This window comes from Homo sapiens, chromosome 18, assembly GCF_000001405.40.
Source record: "Homo sapiens chromosome 18, GRCh38.p14 Primary Assembly".
NCBI classification, from domain to species: Eukaryota; Metazoa; Chordata; class Mammalia; order Primates; family Hominidae; genus Homo; species Homo sapiens.
Genome location: NC_000018.10, coordinates 69666728 through 69683409, shown reverse-complemented (window position 1 = coordinate 69683409; position 16682 = coordinate 69666728). Strand labels below are relative to the sequence as shown.

Below are 16682 nucleotides of genomic sequence, written 5' to 3'. Positions count from 1 at the left end.
GAAACTATTTCCAAATAAATTCACATTCTAAGTTATGGAGGGTTTGGATTTCAACATATCTTCTTGGAAGGGACACAATTGTGATACAGTGTTAAGTTCAACAGATTGATTCCCTCACTGCAGAGAGCAGGTCGTCATTATTGTCAGAGTAGCATTTCCAGGAACTCACTTTGGGCAAGACTAGAGCATATGAATGGCGTTTTAGAAACTCAGATGTGAGTGTGCTTGTTTTTTTTTTTTTCCTGATGCAAAAGTTGGTTTTGTTCAGGGTCATCCCATAGATAAAATTATTGCCCTGGAAAACTCTTTTGTTTGGTTATAAAGAATATGTATATAAGTGAATATGGTTTACCCCAGATCCTTAGTAAGATATTGGGGGAAAATCCTCAAAACAGAGAGAGGCCTATTGTTACTGTGGCCGTTGTTTTGTCATTAACTGGTTATTTTCCACATGAGTAAGGTGCTGCTAATATTGGCTTTAATCATTGATGGACATCAAGAGTTTCAGACTTGCCTGATTGAGAAAGCTAATTTAGAGGAATAAGAAATAATTATAAAAAGGAAAGTGTAAGCTACTTTGATTAGAATTAATCTCACCTCTACCACAGTACTTTCCTTTTGTTTTTATTTTGGCATATTTTTTATTATACCTGAGATGGTAGATTGTATCATTTTTTATATCAGCTTTTCACTTCCTTTCCGTATGTCATACATTCTAACTGCTATTGTGGCCTCATAGATGGGGTGTACTGTGCTTCTGGACTTTGGGCTTGGCAATAGGACTTGCCTTGGCCAATGGAATGTTAGTGGACATGAAATATTCAAAGGCTCAAATTGTGTTGCAAATCTGGGCATACTATCATGCATTACTGTTATCTTTTGTTTGAGAAGTGTGCTTTGGGAAGTTGCAAGTGTAAGGAGGTTGAGAGACAGATGAAATAGACACTGGCATTGTCTGCAGCTTGGAGCCAGTCTCAGCACAACCCAGTCTAACTCAGCCCAACTTTAGCCTTTTTACCTGTGCCTGAACAACGAAGATCTGCTTATAGGTCTGTACTACTGAGATTTTTGTTGACTGGTAACACAACATTATTTTACAAAACATGAATTGATGCACTTTGTTTATGTTTGTCTCCTTTACTACTTTGTGAGCTTCTAAGCATTTTGTTCAATTTTACATTTCTTGTTTAGTTCTTACATATCATAGGTCCTCACAATGTTTGAGTCCAGAATGAATGAATGACATTCAAGGGTGTCTGAGTTGAATGTAGGAAGCATGTTTACCATAGCAACCAGGTAATAATTTAGAAACAACACTAGCATATTGCTTTGGTTCTGAGACAAGTTATACAGATCTTTAGGCTAAAAGAAGAAATGTATGTAGCCCACTCATGAGCAGAGACACTGGGTCCCAGAGAAAGGCAAACCCTTCAGTCTGACTCTGAATAAACCAGATGGCAGTCTGAGGTTCCATTATTTTTGTTCCAGATGGAGATCTCTTGCATCAGTAGCAAATTGGACCTATCCTTTGTGTCCATTTCCAACTGCATTTGCAGGAATTTCCTACAAGTGAATTGCTTCTTGGTTACGACGTTCACTTTTGCTATTCATGATGAATAAGCAACATTTGTTTTCCACAATTGCTATTATGTGTTGTGAATCCTTTATAAATAACTGTAATGCCATATATTAATATTTTTTATGGTCAGTATAGGCTATCTTAAATACTACTGAAAGACCTGGAGATCCTGGAAATTTTAAGAATTTAAACTTTGAAATGTCTACCAAGTATGCACTTTCCTGTGGCAGTGTCATCTGAAATCAGAACACATTTTCCTCTGTGTGTGTGTGTGTGTCTGTTTATGCACATGTGCATGTGAACTTGTGTTCATGTAACTTTCCCCATACCATGTGGGATTCTGGGTCGATATGAAAACAAGCTGACAGCAGTAGATAAAGATGATTACAGCAAAGGATTTAATCAATAACCACTTTTATCTCAGCAACACACATTATCTTTCACCTTTAAAAATTATTTGTATAAATGTCTCTTCTTAGCTAGTCTCAGGCTGTCTGAAGAGGCAGGAAAACACAAGAAGAGAAGTAGCATTTTTGAATGTCAAAAAATTGCTGTGGTAAAGACTAAGCGGTGTGACTTGATACTGATAGAATACTACAAGATCACCACAAACCATGTTAATGTAGTTAATTACAGTAATTCTGCACACATATCTCTTAGTAGAAAAAGTTCAAACTATCCAAGCACATTATTGGCAAAATAATAAAATCATGTTCCTGATGAAGATTCAGCTATATAATTTAATACTAAAATGTCTTAATAAACAATCTATCGTGCTAATTCTTTGATAAAAGATTATTCAATCTATATATATTAGTGACTTCAACCATGTATTAGTAAGTTAATGATTTTATTTTAAAAGGTGTTATGCTTGAAGAGTCTGGAAGAGTGATTGAGAGTCAGTGAAATGACAGCTTTAAAAGTCAATTTTATTTTTAAAGACTTCAGTTAGCTAAAATGCTTTCCCTACACATTTAAGTAAAATAAGTGAGTATATTGTCTAAGAAATAGCTACCTACTCCAAGGACTGGGTGGGAGGGTCCAAGTTGACGGATGAGATATCTTAGTCTTTACCATGAGGTTTTATAGCCTACTGGTAATTGTTTGAGAGAGCATTCTAAATTGGAATTATCATAAGTATGGGGGAAGCCTGTTGAATAGAAAGTGAGAACACTGGGGTATACACCTAAGAAATTGTGCCAATCTCTGTGTGTGTATAGTTGTCTCTGTGTATACACACTAGATTATTGAGCTAGCAAGAATAGAGTCTGAAATCTTGATATTGCCTCAATGTTTATTCCTTTTATTATTCTCCTAACGTGTTGATGCAAATTTTAAAAAGTTCTAGCTGGCTCTGAATGGGCCAAGAGGAACACAGAAAAGGGATATCATCAAAAGTTATGGAAGTTCTTTAAAGAGGGGGGTGCAGACTTGACGAACCCTGAGCAATGGCTGTATCCGTGGCCTTGGCAGTCAAATAAGGAACTTCCTTTAAGGGGAGGGAGATTCCCAGGGACAGGAAATCCTCCCCATCCAGGAATTTTCTTTTAATGCTAAACATTGAAGAGTCTTAGTGAGTACGTGTCTGTCTCCCAGCATGTGTACTAAAGTTGCAAATTTCCTTATAGGATATCATGTATCTTTGTGGGCCATTTAAATAAACCCAGTATTACCTTTTCCAGCTAAATTACTCATAGATTTGTTAACTATATTTTTAAAGCACATATATCCTTTTGTTTGAAGTTAGGATTATTAAACATAATTAATCTAAGAAAAGCATTTATAGCACTGGTGATATAATTTTAGGTCCACTGTAAAGTATACACAGGAATTATTTTTTCTTTCTTTATTTTGACTTGTGTGTGTATGTGTGTTGTGTGTGTGTGTGTATGTGTTTTAAAGTCACCTTCTGCTTTTTATGTAGCTTTGGCACTTTATTCTGTTTGTCCTATTCTAAAATAAACCTATATTAAAAATTTCTCTTTATATTCTAGACAAATTACTTTGACCTTATTATCAAATTAGAAATAAAATTATGATAAACCAAAGAAGTACATTATACATTTGGATGGAAACCATATATATCTCCAAATCTTCAAAGTAAAAAGCATACAGTCCATGCTACAAGAGGCACAGTATTTCTATTTACAAGCTTAATTTATTCACTTTTTCATATTTGCTTTATGTAGTACTTGACAAATTTTTATCAGTAAGAGGTGTTTCCTTTTCTTAAACTGTGAATGGAGAGCATACATTTTAAACAGCATGATTATGGACTCTGCTTAGCACTGCTCTCAGAAAACAAATCAGAGATGAAATTTGAGAGAGTGTGGGAGAGGAACTGGAATATAAACCAGAAGCTAGATAAAGAGCTACAGAAATACTTTTGTGACTTTCTAAAAACTCAAATGGAAGCAATATTTGGAACTTATTATATATGTTCATGATCCACGAGCAGAAAAAAACTTTTTTCATTTTAGCAACAAATAAAAAATAGTGCTACAATGGGCCATGAGCTAGCAATGGCTGTTGACAGTATTGTTATTAGTAATAATGAGAATATAATCATCATGTGCTATCATGTGCTCTTTTACCTATGCTATTTAGTTTATGACCCACAGATAATTCAAGAATTGCTTTCTTTTTTCTTTTTTTGAGATATGGCCTCACTCTGTCACCCAGGCTGGACTACAGTGGCCCAATATTGGCTCACTGTAACCTCTGCCTCCCAGGCTCAAGCGAGCCTCCCACCTCAGCCTCCCGAGTAGCTGGAACTATAGGCACATGCCACCACAGCCTGCTAATTTTTGTAATTTGTAGAGACAGGGTTTCACTATGTTGTGCAAGCTGGTCTTGAACTTCTGAGCTCAAGCAATCCACCCACCACTGCCTCCTAAAGTGCTGGGATTACAGGTGTGAGCCACCACGCCTGGCCCAGAATTTCTTCTTAATAAATAATGTCAAGTTTCCTCAATATCCTTCAACCTTTCAAAACACCGATCATCAAAACTTAGCAACACTAAAAAGTTTCTATTTTCACACTATTCAATCATCTGGTGGTGGTGATCATATTTTTATAAATGAGCTCACAATCAATGAATATTGACAGGCTGAATAATATTACTCCAATTCTGTTATTTAGAGTTGCTAGTCAAGAACATGCAGCATAAATTGTTATGAGACATTAGAAATGCTTGTTAAACTAGAGAACAGTGTAGTAAGTCAACACCATTAGAAACAAAAACCTCAGTTTTGTGAAACCCTGAGATTTTACTCATTACTTTCTTCCTTGTAATATTAGCCAAATGTCCTAAAAGCTACCGATAACCTGATAAGCCAAATCTGTTAATATAGACTCTAAATCTATAATAAGTCTCCAAGAAGAAACTGGAGGGATGCTAGCCATTCAAAAGCCTTCTGAAGAACAAGTTAACCTATTAGTTATTAGGATAAAAGGCAATGCCACAGACAAGAAGCCAGGAGACCCGGGTTGTACCTTAGCATTTTCTCCAGTTGTTACACCATTGTGGGAAAGTCCCTTAATAACTTGAACTGTTCAGTTTATTTTATATATATGTTTCTGAGACAGGGTCTTACTCTGTTGTCCAGGCTGGAGTGCAGTGGCGTGATCTTGGCTCATTGCAACCTCTGCCTCCCAGGTTCAAGCAATTCTCATGCTCCAGCCTCCCAAGAAGCTGGGACTACAGGTGCGGGCCACCACACCCAGCTAATTTTTGTATTTTTAGTAGAGATGAGGTTTTACCATGTTGCCCAGGCTGGTCTCGAACTCCTAGCCTCAAGGGATGGGTCACCCTCGGGCTCCCAAAATGCAGGGATTACAGGTTTGCGCCACTGCACTCGGCCTTTTTGATTTAAAAAATATGATTGGTCTGAAACATTTCTGAGATCCTTTCCAGTTTCAAAGTTCTACAATTACAAGGGTATTCTGAAGTGATGGAAGGCAATCTCACACCTACCATTCTGTTCCCGCTGCACTCCTGCGGCCAGAAGGTCGGGCTCCCCAAGGCTGATATCATTGAGCCTGGTCCCCAGACACTCCATGCAGAGGTGCTTGCACCACTCCTCGGCCTCCAGCTCTGAAAGTAACCACAACATCACCAGTCAAGCAATGCTCCCTAGGAATGATGGAAGAAGAATATTTCCTTAACTGTTTTCCCAGGTAACTGGCAAGAGTTAAGAACCTGCCTTTAAAAAAACAACAAAAAACTGTATTTAGGAAGTGAAAATAAGTCCCAAAAATTATTTCCTACTCTTTGACATTATATTTTTAAGTGGTTTATCTTATTTGTAGTACTTTACCTTATTTACAAATAATAGTCTGAGAATATTTGTTTCTTATATAGCATAGTTTAGATTGATTTTACTTGGGGAGGAAAATTTACTTAAAATAATAAATTAGCCATCATGCTTTACATTTTATATACATATATATATATATACACACACATATATAATATATATATAGACACATATATATACTTCAAAACATGCTTTGCATAATAAATACATTTAATTTTATGTCAATGTAAATTAAGTAAATATAAAATAGAAAATAAATATATAAGTGTAATAGTTGAAAAAATGTCAGGTTAGATTAAACAAATGAATGTTTTCCTGAAAGTGACTTAGATTTGTATGAGTTGAAGACCTGATCCCCAAGTCATTCTGAATTGTAATGGATCATAAATCAGCTCTAGAATGTGATCATTTTTCTTTGTAAACAATACAAATTAGGCTATTCTTATTTTTTAAAAAAATTGGGGTAGAATTTAAAAGTATCTCTTCTCTTTGGAAAATTCCAATTACCTAAGACGTTGATTAGATCATTGCTTTTTTTTTCTATGATTACCTCCCAATTTCTTTATAATCACATTTTCCTCTTGCTTAAAACATTAGAATGTGTTACATCAACACAAAATCCTGTCATATCTAAAGTTTTCACAGGCTTTCATAAACATAAGTGAATTTGACTTTGGTGTAAGCCCTGTGCGAGTGAGGTAGCCAAGGGTTAGGATCATATCTGTGCCTCAAATCATTGGTCAGCATCAAAACAGAATTGGAAATCAACCAAGTCTTCCAGCTATTTTACTATGCAGAAATTTGAAAAGGGGTCTCAGGTTTAATATTTTAGGCCAAGCTCCAATATCACTGTACAGAAATTGGATAAGAACTTTCCATTGACGTCTGCCCAGAGAAGTTTCTGACTTTTCCATACAGCATAAATCTGTACTAGAATAGTGTAATATGGATTCTCTGTAAATCTCTTGTTGCTCTCTGTGGATGACACCTCACCCTTTGTCTTGGCATTTTAAATGCCCCATGAAAAGTTATCTGTGACAGGTTTTCTTGACTTTTGGGATCTAAATACCAACACTGGGCTCTCCTTGATGGTCAACACCATCAAATTTGGGTAATGTTTTCTTTCTGAGCTTAGTCATGCTGCAGCAAAAATAAGTTTCATCAATGAGATGTGAAGACAAATTTATCATTTATTTTTACTTTTCTCAAGACCATGACATACTTTTAAAAATAACAAAAGAAAGAACATGCAGTTCCCCATGGGATCCTGTTCTAATAAAAATAATAGTTCCAATGTTCCTATCATGAGAAGCACTTTTATTTACGAAAGTACAGTTTGCATGTGTCAGGGACCATCCCCTCACTGATGTAAGGCATACTATCAAACTATGTCAAGGATCAGGAAGATTTTCAAGAGGGCCTGGTTCCCTCACTTGAGTGGAGTCAGAGGCCTGGGATTAGCTGCTCAGGCATTTCCTTAGGAACCCAGAAAATAATCCTTTCCAACCACAAGGCTACCAATATAATAAATGCACCATTTGTGGAGGCTACTAAAAATAACAAAAACAAAAAACAAAAAACAAAAAACAAAACTTTTTTCTTTTAGGAAGTAAATGCCAGACTTCATAGAAAAAATTTATAGGAGCAACAAAAGCATATATTGAACGTACTTTTATTAGATATATAAGTATTTATAAAATGTATACAAGATTTAAAATATTTTCTAACAGTCAACCAAAATATTATAGGTTAAACCAATTTACATGCTATGTATCAAGAAATGTTTGAAATTTCTGTCAAGGGAGACACTATGATTATTGTTTTTCTTTTTTTCTTTTTTTTATTATTATACTTTAAGTTTTAGGGTACATGTGCACAACGTGCAGGTTTGTTACATATGTATACATGTGCCATATTGGTGTGCTGCACCCATTAATTCGTCATTTAACATTAGGTATGTTTTTCTTTTAAATTTTTAATGTTTTAAAATTTTCAGAAGACTCCACGATGTAAAAATAATGTAAAGTCACACGCAATTAAAATCTTTTTTGCATTATTCTTTGTAATAGTATTTCCAGTTCTCTACAGATAAGGATGAAAATATCTAATGTGCTATTTGGGAGTAAAAATCAGAACGTTAAATATGTCAAAGCACCTTGGTGCCAATATTCTCTTTAAGCAGTAAGTCGGTGCATGCCCAGACATTTAAGAAATATATAATTCACTCCTTCTTTGTGTTAAGTCTTTTGTCCCAGGGTTTAATGAGACGAAGAAAGCAATCATACAGTAAAAGGCTTCTATGAAACTGGAGTGGACTCTTTCAAGCAGAACTAAATGCAGAATTTCTGTAAGTGCTGGAACAAAGAAGTCTCCCATCACAGCAATGAGAGGTATTCATGGGCTCCTACCAGCAGATAAAGATGTCTCTTGCAGACAGTGCTTCAGCATTTTAGTAGTGTAGTAGCATATAAGAATAGGAATAGCAAGAATAATAAAAGTAGAGTACATATTGTCACACTAAAGACTGAACTGTAAACTATTTCAAAGAGAGAGAGAGAGGAAGAGAGATTCTTACAATTCAGGACTCATTCCTTTAACAAATATTTATTGTGAACTCTCCATATGCCAGGCACTGTGCTAGGAGGTTATATGAAAAACACACCATTTCTGCTCTCAATAATCATAGAGTCTAGTGGGATGGGCAGGTGGGTTTAGTATATGGTGCTCTGGAAGGCTGTTAGCCTAGCTAGGCAGAAACTGAGGAGCTATGCCAAAGGCTCAGCAGAGTGAAAGTATCAGGGCAAGCAGAGAGAAAATGATGATGTGTGTGTTAGTGAGCGTGCGTGTATATCAGTGTGTGTGAGTATGTGGGTGTGAGTGTGCATAGCACTGTATGTGTAATGTGTGGGTGTGTGTGCACACAGCAGTTTTGATGAGTGTGTGTGAGTGTGCATTTGTAGTCATATTTTGTGAGTGTATGAGTGTGTGTTGGAGGAGTCTGGGAGGAGTGAGGGAGATGCCTGGGGTGGAGAGGGAAAGACATTTGCAGGGTAGCAAGAGTGACATCCTGTAACAGCTGGAGATAGCTCTGAGTTCATGTAGAAAAATGTGAGAAACAGTATCAGTTCATTCTTTTCATGATTTTCTAGTATTTGGCTCAATAAGATCAGTCCTAAAACTTCACCTCAAAAGTATTAACCTTTGTAGTCTGTATACTTGGAGCTAACAGTTTTGCTGCACATAAGCTGAATTTCTTTGACTTTTAGACAAAGCTTTGGTTTTATAAATCTGTTTTTGACAGTCACCACCTTTCAAATATTACAACTATGCTTTTTAATTCTTCTTTCTTAGGCAAGCTCTATGTATTGAAGTCTTTTAATCTTTCATTGCATGTTAATTTTTTTCTATCACTATTTAATTGGTGTTTTTCTCTAAATTATCTTTCACCTTTCATTTTTATATTTTTTTACAGAACAGAGATTCAATACAAATGCAATAATCTGAACCCACCCACTGCATTTTAAAATGTTTATTTTCCCATAGACCGAGTGCCTTTGTAATTTGCTTTATCTTTCAAACTTTTTAGTCTACACATAATGTGTAAATAATTAAATTTCATTATGGGAGAATAAAGACATTAAAGGGTTCTATAAAGTTTTTTATTTTTCTCTTCATGATGAAGTGCTTTTTCATGAAGATGCCTTTTTCAGATAGCTTGCAGCTATGTTCAAATTTTTAATTGAGTAAATAACTTTTTCTCTGGACTAGAAACACAAATAATGTTTTCATTATATAGAGGATTAGTTAAATGAAGAAATTTGGTAATTTCCAAAAGGAAAATTGAAAGTCATTTGGGAATAATAAGACAAATGGAGACTAGAGATTAAATTAAATGGTGAATTATGTGACAAATGGGTTGACTGACTGCAGAGAAAATGATGGGAGTCCAAAGCCAATTCAGTCAAAGATGGTGGCTCCTCCCTGTGTTGTTTCAGTGTCTTTCCATTTCTCCACAGAATTCTGGGGAAAGTATGGTGTCTTACAATACAGTGACATGGGACTGATGCAGTGCTATTTTTAATTCTGATTTGAAGGGGATCAGAGAAGAGGTATTTAAATAGAAGACCTTTAATAAATGCCTATTGACTAAGTAATTAGATTCAAGCTTTATTGCTTTTACTAAATTTAGCCCTTAAGATAATGACATTAAAGTTAAATGATCCAAAATGAGCTACATTTGAAAACAGAGTGAAAAAGTTTTCATCATATATATATATATACACACAGAAAATATGCTATCAGCCCAAAATTATGTAGCAGAATTAAAAACAGCACTGCATCAGTTTCATGTTATTTTATTAGAAGATGCAAGTAAGACTTTTTTGTGTGAAAATAATAAATCATTGTATCTAGTTCCCACTGGAGTTAGCTTTTATTAATAATCTTTGGAAAATGTAGACAAAATAATCCTGTTTTGTCTTCAGCATAAGCAGAAATTCTTAATTCTATCTAATTCTTATGTTCTGTGCAGATTTGCTATGATTTGATGATAAAGGTTGTTTTCATATTTATTAACGTCTTAAATACATGCTTTGCTGTGAAGTGAAGAAAAATGTTTCCCTTACAGGCTATTGCTTAGAGAATATAAAACTCTCCCTTATTGTCATTTAAAATTTATAGAACTATTAAAATATAAGACATTTTGATGATGCTTTCATTCTTGAAAACTGGCGTGACTTTCTACTTAACTGGCCTTGCTGATGTTTCATGGACTTTTGTTTCCCCACCGCCCCCACCCCCCCCTTTTTTTTTTTAATAGTGGGAAGACAAGAAACCAGTTAAAACACAAACACTGCCGGGCGCAGTGGCTCACGCCTGTAATCCCAGCACTTTGGCAGGCTGAGGTGGGCGGATCACTTGAGATCAGGAGTTTGAGACCAGCCCGGCCAACATGGCGAAACCCCGAATCTACTAAAAATACAAAATTAGCCGGGCGCGGTGCTGCGCGCCTGTAATCCCAGCTACTCGGGAGTCTGAGACAGGAGAATCCCTTGAACACAGGAGGCGGAGCTTGCGGTGAGCTGAGATCGCGCCATTGCACTCCAGCCTGGGCAACAAGAGCAAAACTCCATCAAAACAAAACAAAACAAACAAACAAACTAACAAACAAAACCACCTAAATGCTTGTTTCAGCAAAGATCAAAAGCATGGATCTCTGGTTAGCCTACAGGAACAAGCTTTTTCTGTTGAAGTCAGATTTGTAGAGTTGACCAGTGTAGAGATGGGGGTACGATTAGTTTTCTAAGTAGGAAGTGCATTTATTTCCTTTCTGTGGAGTTCCCCTCATTTCCTCCCTTCCACAAAGTTCACTGATACCTAATAGTCCTTTAAAATGTGGTTCAAATATGGCCTTCTTAGTTTAGCTCTTCAGACCCATGTTTAGATGTGACACCTTTCCTCTACATTTCCATAACAGTGTAGAGAATTTTATCATAGCCCCTAAATATCAGATGAGATTGGTTCATTCAGGGTGGTATGGCCGTAGACGCCCCTAAGTATCAATGAGCGATTGTTCTGCCTTTCCCAGTCAACTTTAAGAAATTGGAGTGCAGGAAACTTACTTGATCTAGTCACCCTTTACCCTAGAACTGCACCTGGATATGGAAATGAATACATAAATATGGAACAATTAGGTCTATATCATTTGCAGTTTATTCCCAGAAATTCAAAACAAATTCTAAAGCCAAATGCAAATAATTTGGTGAGTAGTCTCTTGGAGGATATTTTGAGGTCTCTATTGTCTCAATTTAAGTAGAGTTTATAAGTCTTGCTTAGCTAGATAAAATAGATCTTTAGAAAAAGAAACAGAGCACTACCTGACATGGTTCCCTACTGAACTTAGGTAATGATAAAATATCATCTATTCAAAAAAGGTTTCTTATTTTATTGGCTATTTTTTCTTTCAACCTCATTAGGAATATTTATGCAACCTGAAGGTTTTGCATAAACTCTTCTAATTTTATTTGTGATCAGCACTTGATTAAATTTTTATTTTCTATATAGATATGACAGTGGAATCTTAGAAAAAGTCAACTTAGAGCCAAGGAAATGTGTTACCACCTAAATGCATCTTTGATGCAGATAATCATGACTTGTTTTCCTTGATTTAACAGCAGGTTGATACATCAACTTTCTGGACTCAATAGAGAAAACCTTATTCTGCTACTTCTTTTATGAATTGAAGGAGTGAGATTAGGCTTTCAAACATGGCCAAAGAGAAAATTGCCCCTACCTATTTTCCAAAGTAACAAATGACAAATAGCTGCAATTGATAGAACAATCAAATGTGCTGCTTTTTTGCCTGACAATAATTCATTGTAAAATTCTTTAATACGGAGGTTAGTGAATGACACAAGAGCTTAAAACAATCCAGAGAAAACAAGAAAGAACAGAAATGGACACCAGTAAATGATCTGAAAAGAATGGTGTAGTGTGTGTGTATGTGTGCGCGTGTGTGCGTGTGTGTGTGTGTTGGGGGAGGGAGGCAAAGATGGGAATTGGATATTTTTTAAAAATTACAAGCTTAAAAAGGATCCTTTCCGACAACTTGGAAGCTCACCTTGAGAATGAATGCATTTCTGTGATGGAAAGCCAGCATTGGGGGAGAATTCTTAATAGATGCCAATAGAAAATGTGATGCACAGGCCAGGCACGGTGGCTCATGCCCACAATCACAGCACTTTGGGAGGCCGGGGTGGGAGGATCACGAGGTCAAGAGATTGAGACCATCCTAGCCAACAGGGTGAAACCCTGTCTCTACTAAAAACACAAAAATTAGCTGGGCATGGTGGCTTGTGCCTGTAATCCCAGCTACTTGGGAGGCTGAGGCAGGAGAATCACTTGAACCTGGGAGGCAGAGGTTGCAGTGAGCCAAGATCATGCCACTGTACTCCAGCCTGGTGACAGAGTGAGACTCTGACTCAAAAAAAAAAAAAAAAAATTGATGCACAAGTTTTTTAGGTTTCTCAAGAATACAATAATCAAGCAGACAACTTTTTGAGGAAGAGGTGCTATCAAGACCCTTTATCTTAGTCATACTTTCCTAAGACCCCAAAAGCAATTGCTTTCTGTGCAACTCTTCTGAGGTGGTTGGCAGTTGAGAGAGAAAGAGACAGGAAGAGCTGTGTGCAGGAATATGAAAACATAGCCAACGATATGGGTATCTAAACTGGAAGTCTGAAATCATACAGAGCTCTAAAACTGTTTCTCTGTACCAAATCTGTTACAAAAACATTTTGACGTTAGTCCCCATTGAACATGGAACTGAATTTGGCCAAACGACACCAACAAATCTGAAAGTGTATTTATTCCAGAGCCTCCTGAAAGGAAGGAAAATCAAATTGATAACAATAAATAAATAAATAAATAAATATGTTCAAAAAAATCAAATTGATAACAGCTTGATTTTCTTCCGAGGAGGACCAGTGTTGGACTTTTGTCCTTCGGAACTATAAGATAATAAATTTGTGGTGCTTTCTGCTACTGTGTGTGGCAATTTGTTATGTCAGTAATAAAACACCAAAACAAATATAAAGGCCAAATATTTTATTCCTTTCTAATAGGAAAGCTTCCAAGCACGCTAATTAATGGGATGTGATGTATGAAAGCAATGAGAAATATATATAAGGAATATGGTGTGATTAAATCTACTTGAAGCTTAATAAATTAAATAGGAATTTCCGGATTATTAACATGAAGTGGAAAAGAAAATCTCAAGGCAGAGAATGCTGATCTGCCAAAAGCCAACCAAGAACAAGAGCCAGGAGGGTCGGCGGGGGGGTGCGGGAAGGGGTCCGAGGGAGAGTTGGAGCAACCACCAGAAAGATTAGATCCACCAGTAACCTGAAAGTACTGAAAATGTTCGAAGGAAGAGATTTCGAAGGACATCTGGTATAAAGGACAGGTGTCATATAAAAGGCCAAGCATGTGATTTAAAAAACACATTGGGTTTAGAGGAGCAAGTCTTCCAGTTGTATAGCTTACATCATGAAATACTGCGCAGCCATAAAAAAGAACAAAATGATGTCCTTTGTAGCAGCATGGATGCAGCTGGAGGCTAGTATCCTACTAGAATTAATGCAGAAACAGAGAACCAAATATTGCATGTTCTCACTTTTAGGTGGGAGCTAAACACGAAGTACACATGGACACTGAAGAGGGAACAAGAGACGCCAGGGCCTACTTGAGGGTGGAGAGTGGGAGGAGGGAGAGGATCAAAAAATTACCTGTCGGGTACTTTGCTCATTTTCTGGGTGACAAAATAATCTGCAATTTACCCATGTAACAACCCTGCACATGCACTCCCCTGAACCTAAAATAAAAGTTGAAGGGAAAAGAATAAAAGCAAAGAGAGAGGAAGAAACACCCTTTAGCAATTGGGTGGTAGAGGGAAAAGAAGAAAAAGTAGAAGATTAGGGTCCTGTAAGTAACATGTTGCCACAGTATCAGGGAACTGACCATCCCTATCACAAAAGGCAAGCAAACAAAACCCTACCATACTTCCTGGGCCTTATTAAAATGACAGAAAAAGGGCAATATTAAACTAGGACTTTTTCATTGACAAAGTACTTTTAATTACAAACTCTGTTAACTATTGAGTAGTCAGATGCTGTGTTTTAACCTTTTTTGTTCAAATATGTAATTTTGTAAAGATTGAGATATAAATTTTATATATTTATCATGTACAACATGATGCTTTGAGTCACATACATTGCGGAATGATCAAATCCAGCCAAACAACAAACTAGGACTCTTATACATCATCCCGATATCACAAAAATCAGCAAAGAAAACAAAAGTCCATAGAGAACTACTGCAGAAATTCAAGACAAGAAAATTCACACAAATTCAAATAAATTAAGGAAAATAAACTCCTACCACACCTCAATCCCCAAAAGTAACATGAAGCAGAAGAAAACTATGAGTACACTCCAAAAATAGTTGAATGTGCTCAATCATTGAGGGTGTAAAATATAAACTTGAATCAAAAATTCATAAACTAAGAATGGAAATGAACAAAAACTATAGGAAAAATGAAAAGAATAGCATGAAAGAAGTGACAAAAGACATTCCTAGGTTTTTTTAAAGTACAAGGTATGTAAGGTAGAATAGCATCAAATGAACACGTATTAAGAGGCATTGAGTAAAATACAAAAATAAAGTTGCCACTAAAAAAGCAGTAAAAAGGGTTGAGGAGAAGCAGTGGAAATGGATAACAGGAGAAGAGGAATGGTAACTAGGATCAATATAGCAGTGGAGTGGGGAATGGTGGCGATGAGAATCATTCACATTTAGGATATATTCAGGAAAGCCTACAAGATTTGCAAGCAGAGTATGAGGGAAAGAGAAATTAAAGATGAATACAAAAGTTTGAGCCTTTACAACTGGAAAAATGGATTTATCATGTAGTGAGATGATGAAGACTATGAGAAAAGCAGATTTAGAGGAAAATAACAAGAGTTCAGTTTTAGAAATAATTCTCAGATTCTTATTAGTTATTGAAGTGGATGGATGAATAGGCAGTTCACTATATGAGCTTGGTATTCAGGAGAGAAATTCAGATCGGACTTATAAATGTGGGAGTCAACAGTATATTGATTCCTTTTAAAGTCACGGAACTAAATGAGATCACCAAGAAGTCTGAGTAGGTAGAAAAAAAGAAGACATTTAAGGGCTAAGACCTGAGATACTCCCACAGTTCGATATTTGGGAAACAAACAGGGAAGGCAACTAAGACATAACAGACATTTAAGGAAGAAGAAACCAGAAAAATGTGCAATATGCTGAAAGCCAAGAACAAAAAATATTTCAAGGAGGAGAGAGTAGCTGACTTTTTCATGCTAGCAAAGCTCAAGTCAAATGAAGTCCAAAAATTGATTGTAAGATTTTTCCAACCTGGAGAGCATAGCTACCTTAATAAGGAAAGTTTTGTTAGAAAGTTTTTGTTACCTTTTTCTTAAGGTAGCATTAGCTCCCTTAATAAGGAAAGTTTTTGTTAGGCTTCCCTTATTGTCTTTGTTGGAAGACAAAAGACAGCTTGAATAGGTGCAAGAGAAAGCAGGAGAGAAGAGAAACAGAAGTTGGAGTCAGTGCAGACAGTTAAATAATAGACAACTCAATCTAGAAGTTATTTATTTTGTAATTTTTTTTAGGTCAAGAAGAGAAATATCTGGCACAATAGCTGCTGAGGGAAGTGACATCAAGAATTTTGGTTGATGATGACTTCTAGTAGCATAAAAAGAATATCAGGATGTGTGCAGGGGCATGAGAAGGAGTTGGAAAGACCATCATAAAGCCCAAGATATGAGATTCTAGAGATGAAAGAGGCAGGAGAAAGAGCATGTAGCTGACATGGACAGAGATAAAGGGCACGTTGAGATTAATTCTGACAGCCCCATGCTGATGCTCTATGGAAAATTATGAGAACTAAAGGGAGGTTGGGATGGCGGGGAGGGGGGGTCCTTCTGGGAGCACAGTGTCCCTGGTGGCTCCTACTGACAGAGGTGGAGCCTGCAGATAGGCAGACTTATTTCCTTAAAACGAAGCTATTTCCTCATTGCTGCAGAGGAAAGCTCCCTTGAGTTGGTCTCATGCTGAGTACACAGCTTGTGAATCCCTGCTGATGGCAGCCTGCAGGCAACTTTTGCCAAAGGTGACCCAGGGTTGTCAGCAGATAGTTATTTCTTATTCAATCCATGTAACAAACCTTGGGGTCATTTTTGAC

The 16682-nt window shown here is 36.5% G+C and overlaps 1 protein-coding gene across 3 annotated transcripts in view; it reads right to left on the bottom strand.

Annotated features, from left to right (window-relative positions):
• Nucleotides 1-16682, bottom strand: part of DOK6 (docking protein 6) — a 448200-nt gene that overhangs the window by 165678 nt on the left and 265840 nt on the right. For all 3 annotated transcript variants that reach the window (NM_152721.6, XM_017025610.2, XM_017025611.2), the window contains one exon: nt 5557-5676. In NM_152721.6, the coding sequence (NP_689934.2) occupies nt 5557-5676 (120 nt within the window). The remainder of the gene's footprint in view (nt 1-5556; nt 5677-16682) is intronic.